This window comes from Homo sapiens, chromosome 21, assembly GCF_000001405.40.
Source record: "Homo sapiens chromosome 21, GRCh38.p14 Primary Assembly".
Taxonomy (NCBI): Eukaryota; Metazoa; Chordata; class Mammalia; order Primates; family Hominidae; genus Homo; species Homo sapiens.
The window spans coordinates 39,706,671-39,726,116 of record NC_000021.9 but is presented as its reverse complement, the minus strand read 5'-3'; the positions used below and the strand labels follow the sequence as shown (position 1 = coordinate 39,726,116).

At 43.2% G+C, this 19,446-nt stretch overlaps 1 protein-coding gene and 1 long non-coding RNA gene across 2 annotated transcripts in view, besides 1 other annotated feature; one reads left to right on the top strand and one right to left on the bottom strand.

Annotated features, from left to right (window-relative positions):
* Positions 1-14,346, bottom strand: part of IGSF5 (immunoglobulin superfamily member 5) — a 90,311-nt gene extending 75,965 nt beyond the window's left edge. Inside the window, exons 1-2 of the mRNA XM_047440699.1 lie at positions 11,898-14,346; positions 32-279 (exon numbers count right to left, since the gene is read on the bottom strand). The gene's annotated coding sequence lies outside the window, so the exon portion shown is untranslated. The remainder of the gene's footprint in view (positions 1-31; positions 280-11,897) is intronic.
* LOC107985499 (uncharacterized) lies at positions 4,085-15,004 on the top strand. The gene is made up of 3 exons (XR_001755056.2): positions 4,085-4,198; positions 4,724-4,824; positions 14,923-15,004. It is a non-coding gene; the product is annotated as an uncharacterized LOC107985499 (long non-coding RNA).
* Positions 18,230-19,041: an enhancer, noted in NCBI's record as "OCT4-NANOG-H3K27ac-H3K4me1 hESC enhancer chr21:41079003-41079814 (GRCh37/hg19 assembly coordinates)". NCBI's record gives its function as "activates a minimal SCP1, AML or CMV promoter by ChIP-STARR-seq in naive H9 embryonic stem cells {active_cell/tissue: H9 hESC(naive)}" and the evidence as "EXISTENCE:reporter gene assay evidence [ECO:0000049][PMID:30033119]".

The following is a 19,446-nucleotide window of genomic DNA, read 5'->3' as shown; positions in this document are numbered from 1 at the left end:
ATGAGAGGGGATTAGGAACCAGACAACATACCGTGGAGGAAAATCACAAGCCCCATCTCTTGTTATTCAGATGGGCAGACAGAGACTTCACACATCAACCACTCTCTGAGACGCTCCTTGACTTCGCCTCCATTGGGACCCGCAGGTTGCTGGAGCTCAGGTTCCTGAGGCCATGCTGTGTAACATCTTGCCCCAGTTTCATCTTCCAGTCCAGCCTCTGAAACTTCCATCAGTCACCCGCAGCCAAGATTTACCAAGGATTATTCTTTAACTTGATCTCTAAAACACAATTAACGGCTGTTAATTGCACACAATTAATTAGGCCTCCTCCTAAGCAGTAAGATCCGTATAATTATGAGCATGATGTGCTAGTTTTTTTTCCAGATCCACATTAAAATAAAATCCTAATAAATAAGATCAAAATTAGGTGTTTGTGTTTCCTAGAAGTACTTGTGCACCACCTGTGGGAAAAGTTGTCATCTGCTTCAAAGTCAGGTTTTATAGACTGAACCCTGCTTTGTCCCTGAAGGAGGAAACTTGTCTTCATTCGGATTTGCTGAGGTGTTTAAAAACATGGGGTTTTGGTTCACATTTCAAGACTGTCCGTAGCCCTTTTGTTTTAACCAAATCCAAGAAGAAGAAAGAGGCCCTGCTGCTTTCAAATGCTGATAACCACTCTGGGATGTCTATAATGTTAGAAGAAAAAATGGGCTTGACTTCACACAGAAAAAAGAAAAATATCTCGGTTTCATTTACATAAGCCTAGTGACATCTGAAGTGATGAACAATAAGTAGTGTTTATGAACTGCTACCATTTCCTACATTAGCCACGTTTTACAACTTTCCAAAAAATATCTAAAATATGTTTAAACATCTTGGCACTCCTACAAACAGCAGAGTTTTACATTTCAGGGTTTTACATGCCAGATGGGCAAGGCAGACTCTGTAGCAGAGCCATGGGGCAAGGGAATCCTGATCTCTATCTGGAATGGCAGGACATCACAATGGATAAATCAGGCACATTTAGCAGAGAACAGAATAGCATCCGCTTGAGTTTTACTGAACGTTGTGTGTCATTTGCCAGCACGATGAGATGGCAAATAGGTTCTTTAGCACAGCTCTCTAGGGTGTAAATACTTTGTATTGTATCAGGATTCGTTGCAGCCACAGACAATCCAAACGCATATAAAGGAAACCTCAAATAACAGATTAATGCATGTAAGGCGTTACTCTCCTGCACAAAGAAGTTGAGATGTACAGGCCTAGACTCCTTTCATCTTTCTCCTCTGCCATCCTCAGCATGAAATTTGTTCTCAATATCCTCTCCCTGCCCAGCTGGTGGCTGCAGCAAGAAGAAGGAAATCTACAAAGAATGTGATGACCAACTGATCACCCAGTGTATTAGTCCATGTTCATGCTGCTGATAAAAGACATACACAAGACTGGGCAATTTACAAAAGAAAGAGATTTGTTGGACTTACACTTTCATGTGGCTGGGGAAGCCTCACAGTCATGGCGGAAGGCAAGGAAGAGCAAGTCACATCTTACATGGATGGCAGCAGGCAAAAACAGAGAGCTTGTGCAGGGGAACTCCTCATTTAAAAACCATCAGATCTCATGAGACTTATTCACTATCACAAGAACAGCACAGGAAAGACCTCCCCCATGATTCAATTACCTCCCACAGGGTCCCTCCCACAACACGTAGGAATTCAAGATGAGATTTGGGTGGGGACACAGCCAAACCATATCACCGAGCTATAAGGAATCTTCCAAGAAGCCCACATAACACAGTAGCTAGAATTTAGTCAAATGTCTACACCTCCTGCAAAGGAAAATGAGAAATGTATTCTTTTAGCTGGGTACATTGTTGCACCAAATAAAAGTACTCATATAAAGAGGAATAAGTGAAAATATTTCCACTTAATTCTATTATTAATACAGAGATAAGAATTTTATTGTATTACTTGAAGAAACAAAAGGCATTTTATTTTATTTTATTTTATTTTATTTTATTTTATTTTATTTTATTTTATTTTATTTTATTTTTTGAGACAGGGTCTTACTCTGTTGCCCAGACTGGAGTGCAGTGGCGCAATCTTGTCTCACCACAACCTTTGCCTCCCAGGCTCAAGTGAGATGTGGCTTCACCATGTTAGCCAGGCTTGTCTTGAACTCCTGACCTCAAATGATCCACCTGCCTCAGCCTCTCAAAGTCCTGGGATTACAGGCATGAGCCACCATGCCAGGCCCAAAGGTTTTTTAGATCCAAGCAATTTGTTTAATAATTTCATGTAATCAACAGCTAATTTCTTAAAGATTCATTTCTGATTTCATATTTTTTTACAAAGAAGATGTGTGAACTTTGTACTCAAGATCCTGATTCTGGCCCTAATTGGAACAAAATTAATACTTGTGCCTTGCTTTAGGGAATACATTCTACCTTTTGACCCATAACCTTTATAGTTCTGTCAGGTCTCAGTGAGGTCAGGGTGACACGATCTGTACCACTGACCCACTCTGTGACCTCTCTGAATTCCAAGTTCCTTCTTGAAGGCAAACTCTCAGATGGTCTCAGTAATCCCTGCCTCCAGTAATCATACTCTGTGTAATTTCCTCCCTTTGAGTGGGGCTGGGACTTCTGACTTGCTTCTCTAACTCACAGATTGCAGCAAAAGTCACTTCTGTGATTCCATGGGATTGCAGCTTCCATCTTGCTAGCAGAATCTCTCTATTCCCTTCTCAGCAGGTGCACTTGGATGGTGCACATAGTCATGTTGGAGACACCCACATGGCAAGCAATCAAGACTGAGGGCAGACTCTCCTGAACAGCCAGCTAGAAACTTCAGCCCTCAGTCCAACAGCCTGCAAGAAATAAAGGCTTGCCAATAGCCATGTGAGCTTCAAAGTCCTATCCTTCCCCAGTGGAGCCTTCAGATGAGGCCCTAGCCCTCACCAGTGCCTTGATTGAAGTCTCGCAAGAAACCCTGAACAAAGGACCAACAAGTTGTGCCCAGACACCTGACTCACACCTAATAAACGTGTGATGTTTTAAGCTGCTTTTGCGGCAATTTGTTACATAGCAATAGATAACTAATGCATTTTTATAGGTAAAATGAGAATAATTCACCTATAAGGAAAAACAAGGTTAATAATACTATCTACCTCACATAGCTTTGTGAGGACTACACATATGCTTATTTGTGTTGTTGATGCTTTTGGTGATGTTGATTATGTCACATAGTAAATCATTCCAAGCTTTAAGAGCAATTATCAGAAGTCCCTGCTTTGGGGAAGCTTGTATTCTAGCAGAGAAAACAGACAAGTAAATGAATAGATAAATATATGTAAGGTGGTAGAAAGTGTTATGAAGACAAATAAGGTAGCATACAAAAGACAGAGGTAGCATACAGATAAGGTAGCATACAAAAGATACAAGGGATGAAATTTTAGTTAAATATTGTTGGTGTCGTTAGGTATATCAGACAGGATAGGCCAGCTTCTGTTTGGTAACAATCCCAAAATACTGGGGGCTTAATACAACCAAAGTTTATTTTTTACTCACATAGCATTGGTGGGTGAGGGAATTCTGCTCATCTTACTCAGACACTCAGGTTGGTAGAAGCTTCATCCTAAAACTGCTGCTGTAGGGACAGAAATGTGACAAACATGGGCTGCTCTTAAAGTTTCCCCCATAATATTTCTGCTCATATTTCAGTGTCCAAATCAAATCACATGGCAACAGCTTACTTCAACGGGGCAGAGAAGGTCATGTGCCTGGAAGGAGGAAAACCCGACGATTGGTGACAGCATGACTGAGGGTGCATTGAGTACAGCACTTGTCATGGTCTCACACTCCTGCCTTGCTCTGAGCCCTAATAAAGTGCTCTTCCCTTTGTCTCTTTTTTGTAGACCTACCATAGGCAAGCTTCTTTCACTAGCTTCCCTTTCCACTCAGTCAGTGCTTTCTAAAAACATATCTTTACAACTGATCTATATCAGAAGTCAGCTAGCCACAGCCCATGGGCAAAGTCCCACCTGGCATCCATTTTGTGTAAAGTTCCATCAGACAGAGTCATGCCTACTCACTCACATATTGTCTGTGGCTGCTTTTGTACTCAACAACTGTACTGAGGAGTTGTGACGGAGACAAAGGGACCACAAAGCTGAAAATATTTACTACCTGGCAATTTACAAAGTAAGTGTGCTCACCTTGACCCATATAACTCAGAATTTTTTTAATGGGTATGACCTTTCATTCAGTTATAGTACAGGAGAACAGTGTTCATGATAAATAGGCAGGTAGATGGATGGATGGGTGGATGGGTGGAATGGAAGGATGGATGGAAAGAAGAAAGGATAAATGGAAAAATGAATGGATGGGTGGGTGGAAGGAAGGAAGGAAGGAAGGAAGGAAGGAAGGAAGGAAGGAAGGAAGGAAGGGACAGATGGCCAGGTTTGGTGTCATCATGGCCAGGCTCTAGTCCCCAATTATTCAATCAAACACTAATAAGGGTGTTTCTGGGAAGGCATTCTGTAGATGTGATTAACATTAATTTGATTTGAAGTAAAAGAGATTATCCAGATAGTCTGAGTGGGCTTGATCCAATCAGTTGAACAGCTTTAAGAGCAGAAAGGAGGCTTCCCAGAAAAAGCAGGACTTCCGCCTGAACTTGCACTGGTGCCGAGTTCCAGCACCCCTTCTTGGTTTTCTGTTTTACAGATTTCAGAATTGCCTGGGTGGAACGATTGCTTTCCTGTGCCAGGTACTTTGTAGGGGGCTGTACCTACAGTCTCATTCAATCAGCCTTACAATGATAAGAGGTGGGTATTATTATACTCACTTTACCGGGACTAAACGGAAGCTATAAAGATCTCACGATATTGCCAAGAGTCATGCTATTGCTATTGGGAGGCCACGAGTTTTGTCTTTAACATTGACTTCAGAGTCTCCCTGTATTCTTCTCACTCTACTGTGTCATCTTTTAATTCAAATATTTATGATAAAGTTTATAAGATGCTTCACTAATTTAATCTCCCATTTGGAAAACTTTTCTTTCAATGAAAGATATGGTTTAAAATGTCTCGTTCTACAGGTTAAGTTACTTCCACCTGCAGTTCAATCCACCAGCCACGTGACATAAGGCTGTGTTCTCTTTGGGTGGCTGTGGTTGGTTTTGTTTGTTTTGTTTTGAAGTATCTGATTTTTTGTTGTTGTTAAATAAAATTATTTTAGAGTAGTTTTAGATTCACAAAAAAAGTAATATGATCATACAGAGAATTCCCATGTACCCCCACTCACAGTTCCCCTGTTATTAACATCTTACCTTAGTATGGTAAACATGTCACAATTGATGAGAACCAATATTGACACATGAATATTAACCAAAGTCCATACTTTATTCAGATTTATTCGCTCAGTTTTTCCCTAATGCCCTTTTCCTCTCTTGAATTCCATCCAGGACACCACATTAGACTAGTCATCATGTCTTCTTATGCTCTACTTGGCTGTAACTTCTCTGGCCTTTTTGTTTCTGGCCACTAGGACAGTTATGAGCAGTACTGGTCAAGTTTCCTGTTGAATGTTTCTCAATTGAGATTTGTCTGATGTTTTTCACGTACCATACTTATGTAAGATGTTAATTATGGGGGAAATTGGGTATGGAGTATATGGGAACCTTCTATTCCAGGGGTCCCCAACCCCTGGGCCATAAACTGGTCCTGGTCTGTGGCCCGTTAGGAACTGCTCTTCACAGCAGGAGGTGAGTGGCTGGTGAATAAGCAAAGCTTCATCTGTATTTATAGCCACTCCACATTGCTCACATTACTGCCTGAGCTCAGCCTCCTGTCAGATCAGTGGTGGCATCAGACTCTCATAGAAGTGTGAACCCTATTGTGAACTGTGCGTGAGAGGCATCTAGGTTGTGTGCTTCTTATAAGAATCTAGTGCCTGATGATCTGAGGTGGAACAGTTTTATCCTGAAACCGTCTCCCTCACCTCAGGTCTGTGGAAAAATTGTCTTCCATGAAAATGATTCCTGGTGTCAAAAAGGTTGGGGACTGCTGATCTATACTATATTCACAATGTTTCTGTATGTATAAAACTATTCTAAAGGAAAAAGGTTATTTTTAAAAAGTCTAAGACAAAAAAAGTTTAATCAAAAGCTAAATCATGAAGATGTTTCCACATGTCGAATTGCCAAGGATTGCTTCGTGACTATGAGAATAACGCTTGGCCCAGGGTGTTGCCAGTGGAAATGACTCCCTATCAGCCTCACTAACCTCAGTGGCTGGAGCACAGAGCAGGCCCTATGGCATGGCGGGAAGAACACATGAACACCAAGCCAAATAGATTGTTTTATGTGGTCTACATGTAATACCTGTAGGAAAATATTTTAGGGACCAGTGACCCTTAGTGAGAGTGGTGTGATGTGCAGCAGTGTTAAGTCGTATTGGTGTATATTGCATGCACAGGAATCTATGGATTCTAGTTCCTGTCTGTTTCTTCTGTCTCTCCTCATATCAATTACTGCTGATCAATTATCAGCCTGAACAAGACCTGGAAGAGAACCTGCCACCACGCTGGCAAAGAGAGCCTAGGGATTCATCATATGCCTGACCTGATCCAGAGGAAGCCTCCAAGGAAATGAGGTCACCTCCAGAACATGATTTACAACACAGGCACCCCCTACACCCATTCACTCTTTCAACACACAGAGAGCACATATCATGTATCAGATACTGGTTTTGGTGCCTTGAGGATGTGAAACAGACATGGCTTCTGCCCTCATGGAGCTTACAGTCAGGTGGAAGAAAAGTGCAATAAAAAGCACACACCTGTAGCCCCAGCTACACGGGAGGCTGAGGCAGGAGGATTGCTTGAGCCCAGGAGTGCAAGACCAGCCTGGGCAACATAGCAAGAGCTTCTTTCAACACAAAAAGAAGGAAAGAAAGAAATACAGAAATTTTCATTTGACCTCTATGCACACAAACTAGAAAACCTAGAAGAGATGGATAAATTCCTGGACACATACACCCTCCCAAGATTGGGCCAGGAAGAAATGGATTCCGGGAACAGACCAATAAGGAGCTGCAAAACTGAATCAGTAATAAATAGCCTGCTAATCAAAAAAAGCCCAGGATGTGATGAATTCAGAGCCCAATTCTACCAGATGTACAAAGAAGAGCTGGTACCACTCCTACAGAAACTATTCCAAAAAATTGAGGAAGAAGATTTCTCCCCAACTCATTCTATGAGGCCAGCATCATATTGATACCAAAATCTGGCACAGACACAACAAAAAAAGAAAACTTCAGGCCAATACCCTTGATAAACATCCATGCAAAAATCTTCAACAAAGTACTTGCAAACCGAATCCAGCAGCACATCAAAAAGTTAATCCACCACAAACAAGTAGGCTTCATCCCCAGGATGCAAGCCTGGTTCAACATATGAAAATCAATAAATGTGATTCATCACATAAATAGAACTAAAGACAAAAACCATATGATTATCTCAACAAATGCAGAAAAGGCTTTTGATAAAATTCAACATCCATTTGTGTTAAAAACTCTCAATAAACGAGGTATTGAAGGAATATACCTCAAAATAATAAGAACCATCTATGACAAACCCACAGCCAACATTATACCGAATGGGCAAAAGCTGGAAGCATTCCCCTTGAAAATCAGCACAAGACAAGAATACCCTCTCTCACCACTTCCATTCAGCATAGTATTGGAAGTCCTAACCAGAGCAATCAGTCAAGAGAAAGAAAGAAAGGGTATCCAAATAGGAAGAGAGGAAGTCAAACTTATCTCTTTTTGTAGATGACATGGTTTTATACATAGAAAACCCTATAGTTTCAGCCCCAAAGCTTCTTCAGCTGATAAACAACTTCAGCAAAGTTGCAAGATATAAAATCAATGTACAAAAATCACTAGCATTCCTATACACCAGGAACAACCAAACTGAGAGCCAAATCAGAAAGGCAATCCCACTCTCAATTGTGACACACACAAAAAAAAAATACCCAGGAATACAGCTAACCAGGGATGTGAAAGATCTCTACAATGAGAATTATAAAAGAATTACTGCTCAAAGAAATCAGAACAGACACAAACAAATGGAAAAACACTGCATGCTCATGGATTAGATGAATCAATATCATTAAAATGGCTATACCACCCAAAGCAATTTACAGATTCAATGTTATTCCTATAAAAGTACCAATGACATTCTTCACAGAACTAGAAAAAAATATTTTAAAACTTATATGGAACCAAAAAAGAGCCCAAATAGTCAAGGCAATCTAAGCAAAAAGAACAAATCTGGAGGAATTATGTTACCTGATTTCAAACTATACTACAAGGCTACAGTGTCCAAAATAGCATGGTACTGGTACAAAAACAGGCATATAGACCAATGGAACAGAATAGAGAGCCCAGAAATAAGGCTGCACATCTACGACCATCTGATCTTTGACAAAGTTGACAAAAGCAAGCAATGCGGAAAAGACTCCCTACTCAATAAGTGGTGCTGGGACAACTGGCTAGCCATATGCAGAAGATTGAAGCTGGACCCCTTCCTTACACCATATACACAAATCAGCTCAAGATGGATTGAAGACTTAAATGTAAAACCCAAAACTATAAGAACCTTGGAAGACAACCTAGGCAATACCATCTTGGACCTAGGAACAGGCAGATTTCATGACAAAGACACCAAAAGCAATCACAACAAATGCAAAAATTGACAAATGGTATCTAATTAAACTTAAGACCTTCTGCACAGCAAAAGAAACTATCAACAGAGTAAACATACAGCCTGCAAAATGGGAAAAACTATTTGCAAACTATGCATCTGACAAAGGTCTAATATCCAGCATCTGTAAGGAACTTAAATTTACAAGAGAAAAACAATCCTATTAAAAAGTGGGCATAAGACATAAACAGACACTTCTCAACAGAAGACATACATGCGTCCAAGAAGCATATGAAAAAAAGCTCAATATCACTGATCATGAGAGAAATACAAATCAAAACCACAGTGAGATACCATCTCACACAAGTCAGAATGGCTATTACTAAAAAGTCAAAAAAATAACAGATAATGGCTAGGTTGCAGAGAAAAGGGAATTCTTATACACTGTTAGTGGGAGTGTAAATTAGTTCAACCATTGTGAAAAGCAGTGTGGTGATTCCTCAAAAAGCTAAAAGCAGAACTAGCATTTGACCAAGCAATCCCATTAATGGGTAAATACCCAGAGGAATATAAATAATTCTGCCATAAAGACGCATGCACATAAATGTTCATTGCAGCACTGTTCACCATAGCAAAGACATAGAATCAACCTAAATGCCCATCAGTGACAGACTGGATAAAGAAAATGTGGTACATATACACCATAGAATATTATGCAACCATAAAGAAGAACAAGATCATGTGTTTCGCTGGAACACAGATGGAGCTGGAGGCTATCATCCTTAGCAAACTAATGCAGGAACAGAAAACCAAATACTGCATTTTCTCACTTACAAGCGGGAGCTAAATGATAAGAACTTACGAACACAAAGAAGGAAACAGCAGACAGTGGGGTCTGCTTGAGCGGAGAGGGTGGGAGGAGAGAGAGGAGCAGAAAAGATAACTATTGGGTACTGGGCTTAATATCTGGGTGATGTAAAAATAGGTACAACAAGCCCCCATGACACGTGTTTATCTACGTAAAAAACCTTCACATGTACCCCCAAACCTAAAATAAATTTTTTTAAAAAAAGAAAAAAAAATTCTCGTTTTTAGAGTGGCTAGTAACAAAATGAAAATAAAATAAATCACACAAACAAATGAGTCTAAGCTGTGGTAAGGGGTGGGGACTTATGGTTGGACCCCACCTGTGCGGTGTTTGTATTAGGGGAGGGACGAGTCATGAGGGAGGGCACTTTCAGGCTGGATGATGCCTCCTCCGCAGTGGTGCAACTAAGCACTGAGACAGGTACTCACTGCGGGCTCTAGTGCACGACCCTCCTGACACCCTCTTGGGAAATGAGTGCATGGGAGCCCCCACAGTTTCCAGGTTCCTACAATTATCAGTGTGGATTGAAATGGTTTCCTTCATTGTAACCGCCAGGTGGCACTGCAGGGTGATATACTGAATGAGAAAGACTTCCTATAAAATTTTACTTTAATAACATCCCCGGGTTGGTTCCCTCCCCAGCCACCCCCCCACACACACCCACATTTCATTTGATTCAGTGAGGTTGGGTAACTCAGTAATCCGGTGAATTCTCACCCTAAAGTTGGAAGAAGACTGTAAATTATGCTAATTATAAAGCCCGTGAATGATCATCTTCCAGCCATATTTTCTTCTTGCATAAAATGAAATTGTATTTATACTTCCATAATCCAAGCTAAAATTAGCCATAACACTCTGTGTACTATACAAGAGCAAGGATCTATTTTCTTATTTGTTTACAACGTATCCTCAGAATCTAGGACACTACCTGTCATGGATAAGCACTCAATGGAAAATAAATGGATGAAGGAATGAAGGAGTGCTAGAGATGATTATTAAGAAAATAAATACGTGGACCTCCATAACTTGGACTAAAACTAAGTTGGAATGCTATGGCTCAGATGAAAACAAAAGCATGTATTTACATTTAGAAAGAGGCCTTTATAGCATAAGAAATTATTAACTGGGCTGGTCATGGTGGCTCATACCCACAATCCCATCACTTTGGGAGCTTGAGGCAGGAGGATTACTTGAGCCCAGGAGTCCAAGACCAGCCTGAGCAACATGGTGAAACCCCATCTCTACTAAAAATACAAAAAATTAGCTGGGCATGGTGGCATGCACCTGTAGTCCCAGCTACTTGCAAGGCTGAGGCAGGAGGATCACCTGAGCCAGGGAGGTGGAGTTTGCAGTTAGCTGAGATGACGCCACTGCATTCCAGCCTGGGTGACAGAGTGAGACTTCATATCAAAAGAAAGAAAAGAAAAGAAAGAAAGGAAGAGAAGGGAAGGGAGATGAGAAAGAAAGAAAAGAAAGAAAGAACGAAAGAAAGAAAAGGAAAGGAAAGGGAGAAAAAAGGAAGGAAGGAAGGAAGGAAGAGTCCTGGCCCAGGCCCATCAGGCCCGTAGACTCACCCAGTGGGTGCTTCCCCATCCACCATGTGTAATTGGGGTGGGCACACTTGACAGTTGGTAGAACCCACAAGTTATGGGCTGAATTGAGTCTTCCCCCAAACAAAATTATATATCGGAGTCCTGATGTTCAGTACCTCAGAATGTGAACTTATTTGAAAAAAGGGTCATTGCAGATGTAATGAGTTAAGATAAGGTCACTAGGGTGAGCCCTAACCCATGTGCCTGGTGTCCTTATAAAACAGAAATTTACACACAGACACACACACACAAGAAGGATACCACGTGAAGAAGAAGGCACAGACCCCAGTGATGCTTCTATAAGCCAAAGCTCACCAGCAGCTGCAGCAACCAGCAGAAGCTGTGGGAGAGCCTGGAGTAGATCTCCTCTTGTGACCTCAGAGGAGCCAGCCCTCAGGCTTCTGGCCTCCAGGACTGAGACAATACATTTCTTATGTTTAAGCCACCCAGTGTGTGATACTTATTATGTCAGCCCTAGTAAACAAATACACCATGTATAGATTCCTTGTTCTGCAGAGTAAGAGCTATCACAGTGGGGTAAGCCAAGCAAAAACTTATGTTTGCCTTCAGGCCAAGACAGTAAATCAAAAACAATATTGTATCCCAAGGGAAACAGTAGATGCAAGGGAAGCAAGGCCAATGGATTCCATCATATCCCTTTTTCATTCACTAATCAGGCTGCTTCCAAGCCACAGACATCTTAGAAGGTGAAAGTGAAGTACTGCAAACTCACCTAAGTGTAGTCCCAAGCACAGCTGCTGAGCCCATGTAGAACTTTTTCTAGAGCCAGTGACCATAGACAAGGCACACAGCCAAGCAACCGATGAATGCGGTTTCTCCTCTTTATCAGCAGAGAGGAGTAGGAGCAGCTCGCGCTCACGTGGGATGGATAGCAGTACTCATTCACAGCTCTTCCCAGGGCGATGTTAATTCTCCAGCTCTCTGTCAGGATACAGGCTGAAAAGACCGGGACCTTGTGGACATTCCACAGTGCATCATGTTGGTCCACTATGTGGACACATTAAGGCTGAATGAACAAAATGCAACAAGTATGTTGCCAGGAGGTGGGAAGAAAGATAAGAGAGAAACCCTATGAAGATCAGGAACCCCATAGATCAGTATGTTTGTAAGGATCCAGTGGTCTGGGGCTTGCTGGGACATTCCCTCTAAAGTAAAACATAAAATTATTGCACCTTACACCTCCCACCTTTAAGAAGGAAGCACAAGGCCCAGCAGACTTCTCTGGATTCTGGAGGCAGCATTTCCCACCCTTGGGAACATTGCTGAAACACACTTATCCTGCGACATGAAAGATGCCAGTTTTGCATGAGACCCAGAGAAGGAAGAGCAGGGCAGCAGGTCCAGGCTGAGGTGCAAGTGTCCCTGCTGTTGGGCCCATACAGCCCGGCAGGCCCTAGTGGGAAAAGACACCAGGTGGCAGTTAAGACAAGTCTCAACAGGAGAATCACAGCACAGACCCTTAGGTCTAGAGCAAGCTCACATCATTAGCAGCAGAAAAATATGCACTATTTGAAAAAAGCTTTGTCCTGCTACCTAACCATGGCAACAAGGACCATGCAGCCAGCCCACCATGACCTGGGTTCAGGTCAGGACCCCCTAACTCATAAGGTCAGACAAGCAATCTGCAAATAATTCTCATGATGGAGCACCAGTAGGGCCAGAAGGCACTTGTAAGTTGCAGTGGCAGGTGTCCGAGACACTCTCCCACACCCAGCCCTGCCTGTCATCCACCACTTCTAACCAGTGCTTTCCCTTCAGTTAACTCCTGTGACCACACGGTGGCAGGGAAAGGGGCTTGTCCCTTTTTACCTGCTGAGCAGGGAGGGAAATGCTTGGTTCACAGATGGCAGATGGGTAAACTTGCTACATGGTACTAGCTGAAAATGGACTATTCCTGCACTACAGCCCCTGATAATTCAGGGTGCCCCTGAAAGACGTAATGAGGGACTTCTTCCCAATGTCATCTACTTGGAGCGGAAACAAAAGTGGCCCGAGGTTAAAACACATATAGATTCACTGGCAGTGGTGAATGGCTTGGCTGGTTGTTGAGTGACTTACAAGAAGAAAAATTCAAAGTTTGGGACAAGGAGGCCTGTGAATGGTCCTGTCAGGATGAGCATTAAACATAAAGATGGTCATGTTCTATGTTAGTTTCCCCAAGACAGCATTCACCGTGGAAGAGACATCAAACAACAAGGAGGGAGAATGACTCAGCCAGCCGAGGTTCAGCCCTCCTCACTCACTGCTCACTCCAGTAGTGGCCCAATGAACCCATGAACGAAGCAGCTGTGGTGACAGGGAAGGAGGCTATGCATGGACCCAACAGCATGGTCTCCAACTCACCAAGGCTGATCTAGCTACTAAATACCCAACCTGCAAGCCACAGAGAACAACCCTGAGCCCCCAGTATGGCACAATCACTCAGAGACCAACCAGCCAGTCTGGAAGGGAATGATTCTGCTTGACAGGAATTAACTCATATCCTGGTGGGAGTTTGGCTTTCCTTTCCACAGAACTTCAGGCACCATCACTATCCGAGGGTTTACAAAACGTCTGGTCCACCCACGTGAATCCTGCACGACTTGCCTTTGGACCCAGGGACCCGCTTCACAGCAAAAGAAGTTTGACAGCGTGCAAGTGAGCATGGGTTCACCAGTCCTATCACATCCCGCACTGCCCTGGAGCTTCTGTCCTGATAGCTCAAAGAAGCTACCCTTTGAGGATACAGCTTGGAGATAATCTCCTGCAAGGATGGGGCACTACACTCCAAGATGCAATATTCTCTTGAAATCAATAACAAAGGCATGGTATTGTGTCCCCAGAAGGTCTACCATGAGTATGGGATTCAGTGGCTGGAAGGAGTGCTGCCCTACTTATGATTGCTCCCAGTGGCTCACTTAGAGAACTGTGCTTCCCATCGTTGCAGCTCCCCAGAGGGGGACTTTTCCCACTAAGGGACACAGCGAGAGTCTCATTACACATTAAGCTGGGACTGCCTCCCTGACACTTCAGGCTTCTTTTGCCATACAACCAGCAGCAAGAAAAGGTGTCACCATCTGAAAGGATTAATTGGCCCTAATCATTAAAAAAGAGGCTTCTGGTGGGGTGCAGTGGCTCACGCCTGTAATCTCAGCACTTTGGGAGACTGAGGTGGGCAGATCACAAGGTCGAGAGATCGAGACCATCTTGGCCAACATGGTGAAACTCTGCCTCTACTAAAAATACAAAAATCAGCTGGGCATGGTGGGGCGCACCTAAAGTCCCAGCTACTCGGGAGACTGAGACAGGAGAATCGCTTGAATCCGGGAGGTGGAAGTTCCAGTGAGCCGAGAGATCGCACCACTGCACTCCAGCCTGGCGACAGAGTGAGACCCGTCTCAAAAAAAAAAAAAAAAGAGCCTGCCGTTGCACATGGAAGGAAGGAAGAACACCTTCAGCACCCACATGATCCACGGAGGTGTTTATTAGTCCTTGCTGACTGAATATTGATAACAAATGGAGGGCACCTCAGTCGTGAACCAAGGAAGGTATGGTGAGCAGAGGAAGGAGACCCCGAGGGATGAGAGTCTGGGCAGCCCCCACCCTGGACCATCAAAGTCTAAGTCTAGCAGTGCTAGCTGGGGGTGAGGAGAATCAAGACTGGGTAGTAGATGCGGGAGGTCATGAGTATCTGTCATTGTCCCAAGATCACTTCAGCACAGAGACATCAGTTTGTCTCAATAACCTTTCCATTGTAGGTTTATCCAGGAAGAGACCAACCAAGTCCCAGACGAGCTCTGCCCACATCAAGCGAGCTTCTGGAACGTGGCGGAATGCTGCAGGTGGACTGCAGTGGTTCTGTGGTATGTTGGCCAACTCCTGCCCTCAGTTCAGGGTGCGCATTCCTCAGACGCCAGGGGTAGCCTGCATCCAGTGACTGCATCCAGTGATGCTAGGATACAAAGACCCAGTCCCAAAACTTTAATTCAAGGCATCTCTGAAATGCCACCCAAGCTTCAAAGCTCTCCGTGAGATCAGCTGAGGCCTCAGTTGCATCCCTATTGCACTTTAATTTCTCCTGCGGCATCCTGCTCCCTCCCTCCCACACAGGGGCTGTTCCTCAGAGCCATTCCCAGTCACCACCTGCATGCACATCTCCATCTCAGAGTCTGTTTCCTGGGAATCCTGACCCAGGGCAATGTCTGAAGCCCAGACTCTGGAGACATGGGGCTATGAAGGAGCATGAGGGTGAAAGTTCAGGCTCAGACCTGAGATACATTCTCTCTACCATAGGACCCAATGCATAAAGCTGATAGCTGGATGTCTAACTGACTCTACTTTGCAGTTTTCAGCCATTCAGAAGGGAAATGCACCTTAAAAATCCCAGCACTCCCGATTCCCTCATTTACTAGTTGTGCAATCTTAACGAAGCTACTTGACTTTTCTGAGCTTCTCATCTAAAACAATGAAATAACAATCATTAACCACCCATTCAGTTGTAATTATTAAACGGTCTAATCAGTGTCAGTTACTTAGCACAGTGCCTGGCATATTGCTAAAGTCCCTGAAGTGTCAATCCATTATCCTCGGGTGGGCAACAGATGGAACATCCCTTATTTTTACATGCTGAGTATGTCTGAATTTAATTTCTATCTCAAGCTCTCCTCACGTCTTCTTAGAAGAATGTTCAACATTGATAACTGAAGGTCAACTCCGTTCTCTGGGTCAATTCAGCCAACCAGGGGTTAATTGCCTCCTACCTCATGCTCAGGGTGGCATCCGGTTGCCATCGGCCTTAGATAGCATCTAGGTGTGAGAGGGATCGTCTGTGGCTCAGGTGTCATCACGAGCCAGTCTCCACTGGGACACATGATGCCTGTCTGGGTCTTGGCCAGCGTCACCTTGAGGCGTCTGCCTTCTCTCTGGTTTCTGATGGTTTTGTCAGAGGAGTTTGAAGCAGAGCACCTCCATCTTGAATAGAAGCTGGGTAAAATAAGGATGAGACCTACTGGGCTGCATTCCCCGGAGGTTAAGCCATTCTTAGTCACAGGATGACATAGGAGGTCAGCAGAAGATATAGGTCATAACAACCTTGCTGATAAAAGAGGTTGCAGTAAAGAAGCTGGCCAAACCCACCAAAACCAAGATGGCAACGGAAGAGACCTCTGGTCGTCCTCACTGCTACACTCCCATCAGCACCATGACAGTTTACAAATGTCATGGCAACGTCAAAAAGTTATCCTATATGGTCTAAAATGGGGAGGCATGAATAATGCACCCCTTGTTTGGCATATCATCAAGAAATAACCATAAACATGGGCAACCAGCAGCCCCTTTCACTTTACTGCATGGACTCGCCCTGAATTCCTTCTTGCACGAGATCCAAGAACCTTCTCTTGGGATCTGGATTGGGACTCCTTTCCAGTAACATCTTGGACTGTTGCTTCCCCAGAGTGGATTCCCTGGTAAAGAAACGAGGTTTTCAAGCTGATGAGCTCTGCCAGAGTAAACGTGATAAACATAGTAAACTGTGAGATTTGAACCACACTTTTAGGCTTCCTAGTTTTAGATTTTTCATTTGGTCAAGTGACTTCCTCCTCACAGGTTGTGTAGATGGAAGAGACAAGGAAGGAAGTCAGCCACCCTGTGGAGTAGCCAGGACTCACCATGTGTAAGCCATGACCCCATGCTGAGCTTCTGGCCCAAGGCAAGTGCTCCCAATATTTAGGGCCTGGCAACGCTCATTGCATTGTTTTGTATTAATAGATAAGCTTAGAAAAGTCAAGTTGTTTCCTTTACATTACTCAACTAGTAAATGGGGAAACTGGGTGCATTGGAATTGCTTAGATGCATTTCCCTTCTGAATTTTTAAAGACTGAAAACCAAAGAGTAGGGTCAGCTACTAGGTTTTGTTGATGTGGTTTATTTCAATTGACATTATTTCATTATGAATATTTCAAGACATATTGCTTTCCTAAGACCCTACACCTCCATCTGGCCACAGACACCAGATGGGAAGTGGACCTTTTCTACGTTAGAATGCAGGAGTGAATACACCTCAATTCTAAATGTGCACTTATGATGACACTGGGCTATGATGACACTGGTGTCTTAAAGTGATGCAAATTTCAGCATTAGCTACGAACCCCACCTGCCACCCAGCATCCTCTGTTGGCACTGCAGGTGGATGTGTGGTAGGGGCTTAGATATATCTCTTGGTGTCATAGAAGCGTGGCCAGCCAGCAATTAATTTAGTGTCCACCAGAGTTTTCCCTGGTCTTGCCATCTAGCTTGCCCATGTATTCTGAACCTGGGAACTGTGCAAATCATGCTTTATTTTTTTCACAGGGCACTTTAGTTCTTGGCTTCAACTGCTTTCTAGTTATGTTGATAAATTTCTCTTAAGACATGGACATCAATTTGTGATTTTTAAGGTAAACTTCTGCTCCTATTTTATGTCTCTCCAGGTCATTTGCATTATCAGTAAAGCAGTGAGTTTTAAGGGTTGATGTTACTCAACTAGCTGGTATTGAGCTTAGAACTTAAACCCACAGTGCAGACTTGTGAACACGTGTGAAGCACATTATGTTTAAATGGAGATGTTTCACTTCTTTTCCCTGAGCTGCCTTTCTTCCCCTTCTTTTCTTTAAACTTCTTGACAGAGTCATCTGCATTTCTACTTCTGTTACTTTATCTATTTATTTTTAAAATTATTATTATTAATTACACTTATAATACATTGAAAATACAGTCTCACGGTATAAAATTCAGACACTTTACATAAAACTGAAGTCGTTTTTGCTCACCACTCACAATATAATAGCTAACATTTGTGGAGTTTTTAGTCTATGCAAGCCTCCTAGAAGCACTTTCTGATTATTTTTTTTTTTACTTTGCTCAATGGTTTTATAACACATAGGTAATGTTATTTTATCCTTATGTTAGAGATGAGGAATTTAAGGCCCAAATAAATGAAATAACTTGCACGAAGTCACACAGTAGAAGGCAAAGCTTGGATTTGAGCCCCAGGAAGTTTATGACAAAGACTGTCCTTTTCAAAAAAAAAAAATTTCAACTTTTATTTTAGGTGCAGGGGGTACATGTGCAGGTTTGTTATATGGGTATATTGTGTGATGCTGACATTTGGGGCACAAATCCTATCACCCAGGTAGTGAGCATAGCAGCTGATTGCTTTTGAGCCCTTGCTCCCCTCCATCCCCCCTAAATAGTCCTGAAACTGCCTTTGCAAAAATTATATCAGGAGAGCAATTATAACAGTGAGCTGAGCTAACCCACCACCCATCTTGCCTTTCCCTTAATTATTCCTGGGCTACTGGGCTGAGCTAACTTTGAAAGACATTTAGGCTATCATTTAAATGATAAGAAGCCTTGCCCAGAACTCAATCACTTTTGTAAAGCTAATAGCAGGCCATTAGGCTGTGGGGAGGAAAGGAGCCTGAGACCTGCTAAGGTACAGACAGAAACGATTACCAGCCATTATTCCAGAGGTTAGAAACTATGCAACTTCCTCAATTACTCCTGCAAATAACATCACTATTGTAGCTTGGCCTTTTGAGATATCTTTTCAGATTTTTTGCAAGTCTGACACCCATGACACCACCTAGACCCACCAACCCCACTCCTGTGGCCCCCACACATAAGTGATTCAGCATGCAGGAGGACAGCTAGCAAGAGGCCAAGACCTACAGAACAACCACCACCAGTCCTCTGTCAGCAGGAAGCAGTTATAGAAGACTAACCATCTTTCCCCCAAAGAATTGGGATCTTGGACTCTTAAGGGGGGGATGTTTTATGGTAGGTAGTTAGTCACACATGAGCAGGGCAGGAGAGGGCCCCCACAACCAAGAATGTCAGGTGACCATCAGGTGATGGTTAGGTGGTTGTTAAACTGTCTCTCTAAAATAATATAATAATTAGTCACAACTGGCACCAGGGAAAGGCAGTCTCCCAACAGAAACACCTGAAACTGGTGATCAGCAGCTCCCCAGTAAGATCTCAGGAGTTGGGCAAGTGGGCTCAAGCATGCACAATAAGAGGAAAAATGGCAGAGCTTAATTGCTATATGACCTTCCTCTACGAACATTCAACTGGCAAAGGGAAAAATGCCTCAAGTGAACATGTGTACGACTTCAGTAAACACACTGCAAATACAGCCCCTCCCAAGGGCTGGGAGACCACTGCTCATGTGGACAGCACACCCCAAGTGAAGAACTAGGGGAGAAGGGACACAACACCCTGGAAGCATGCCAAGGTATAAAACC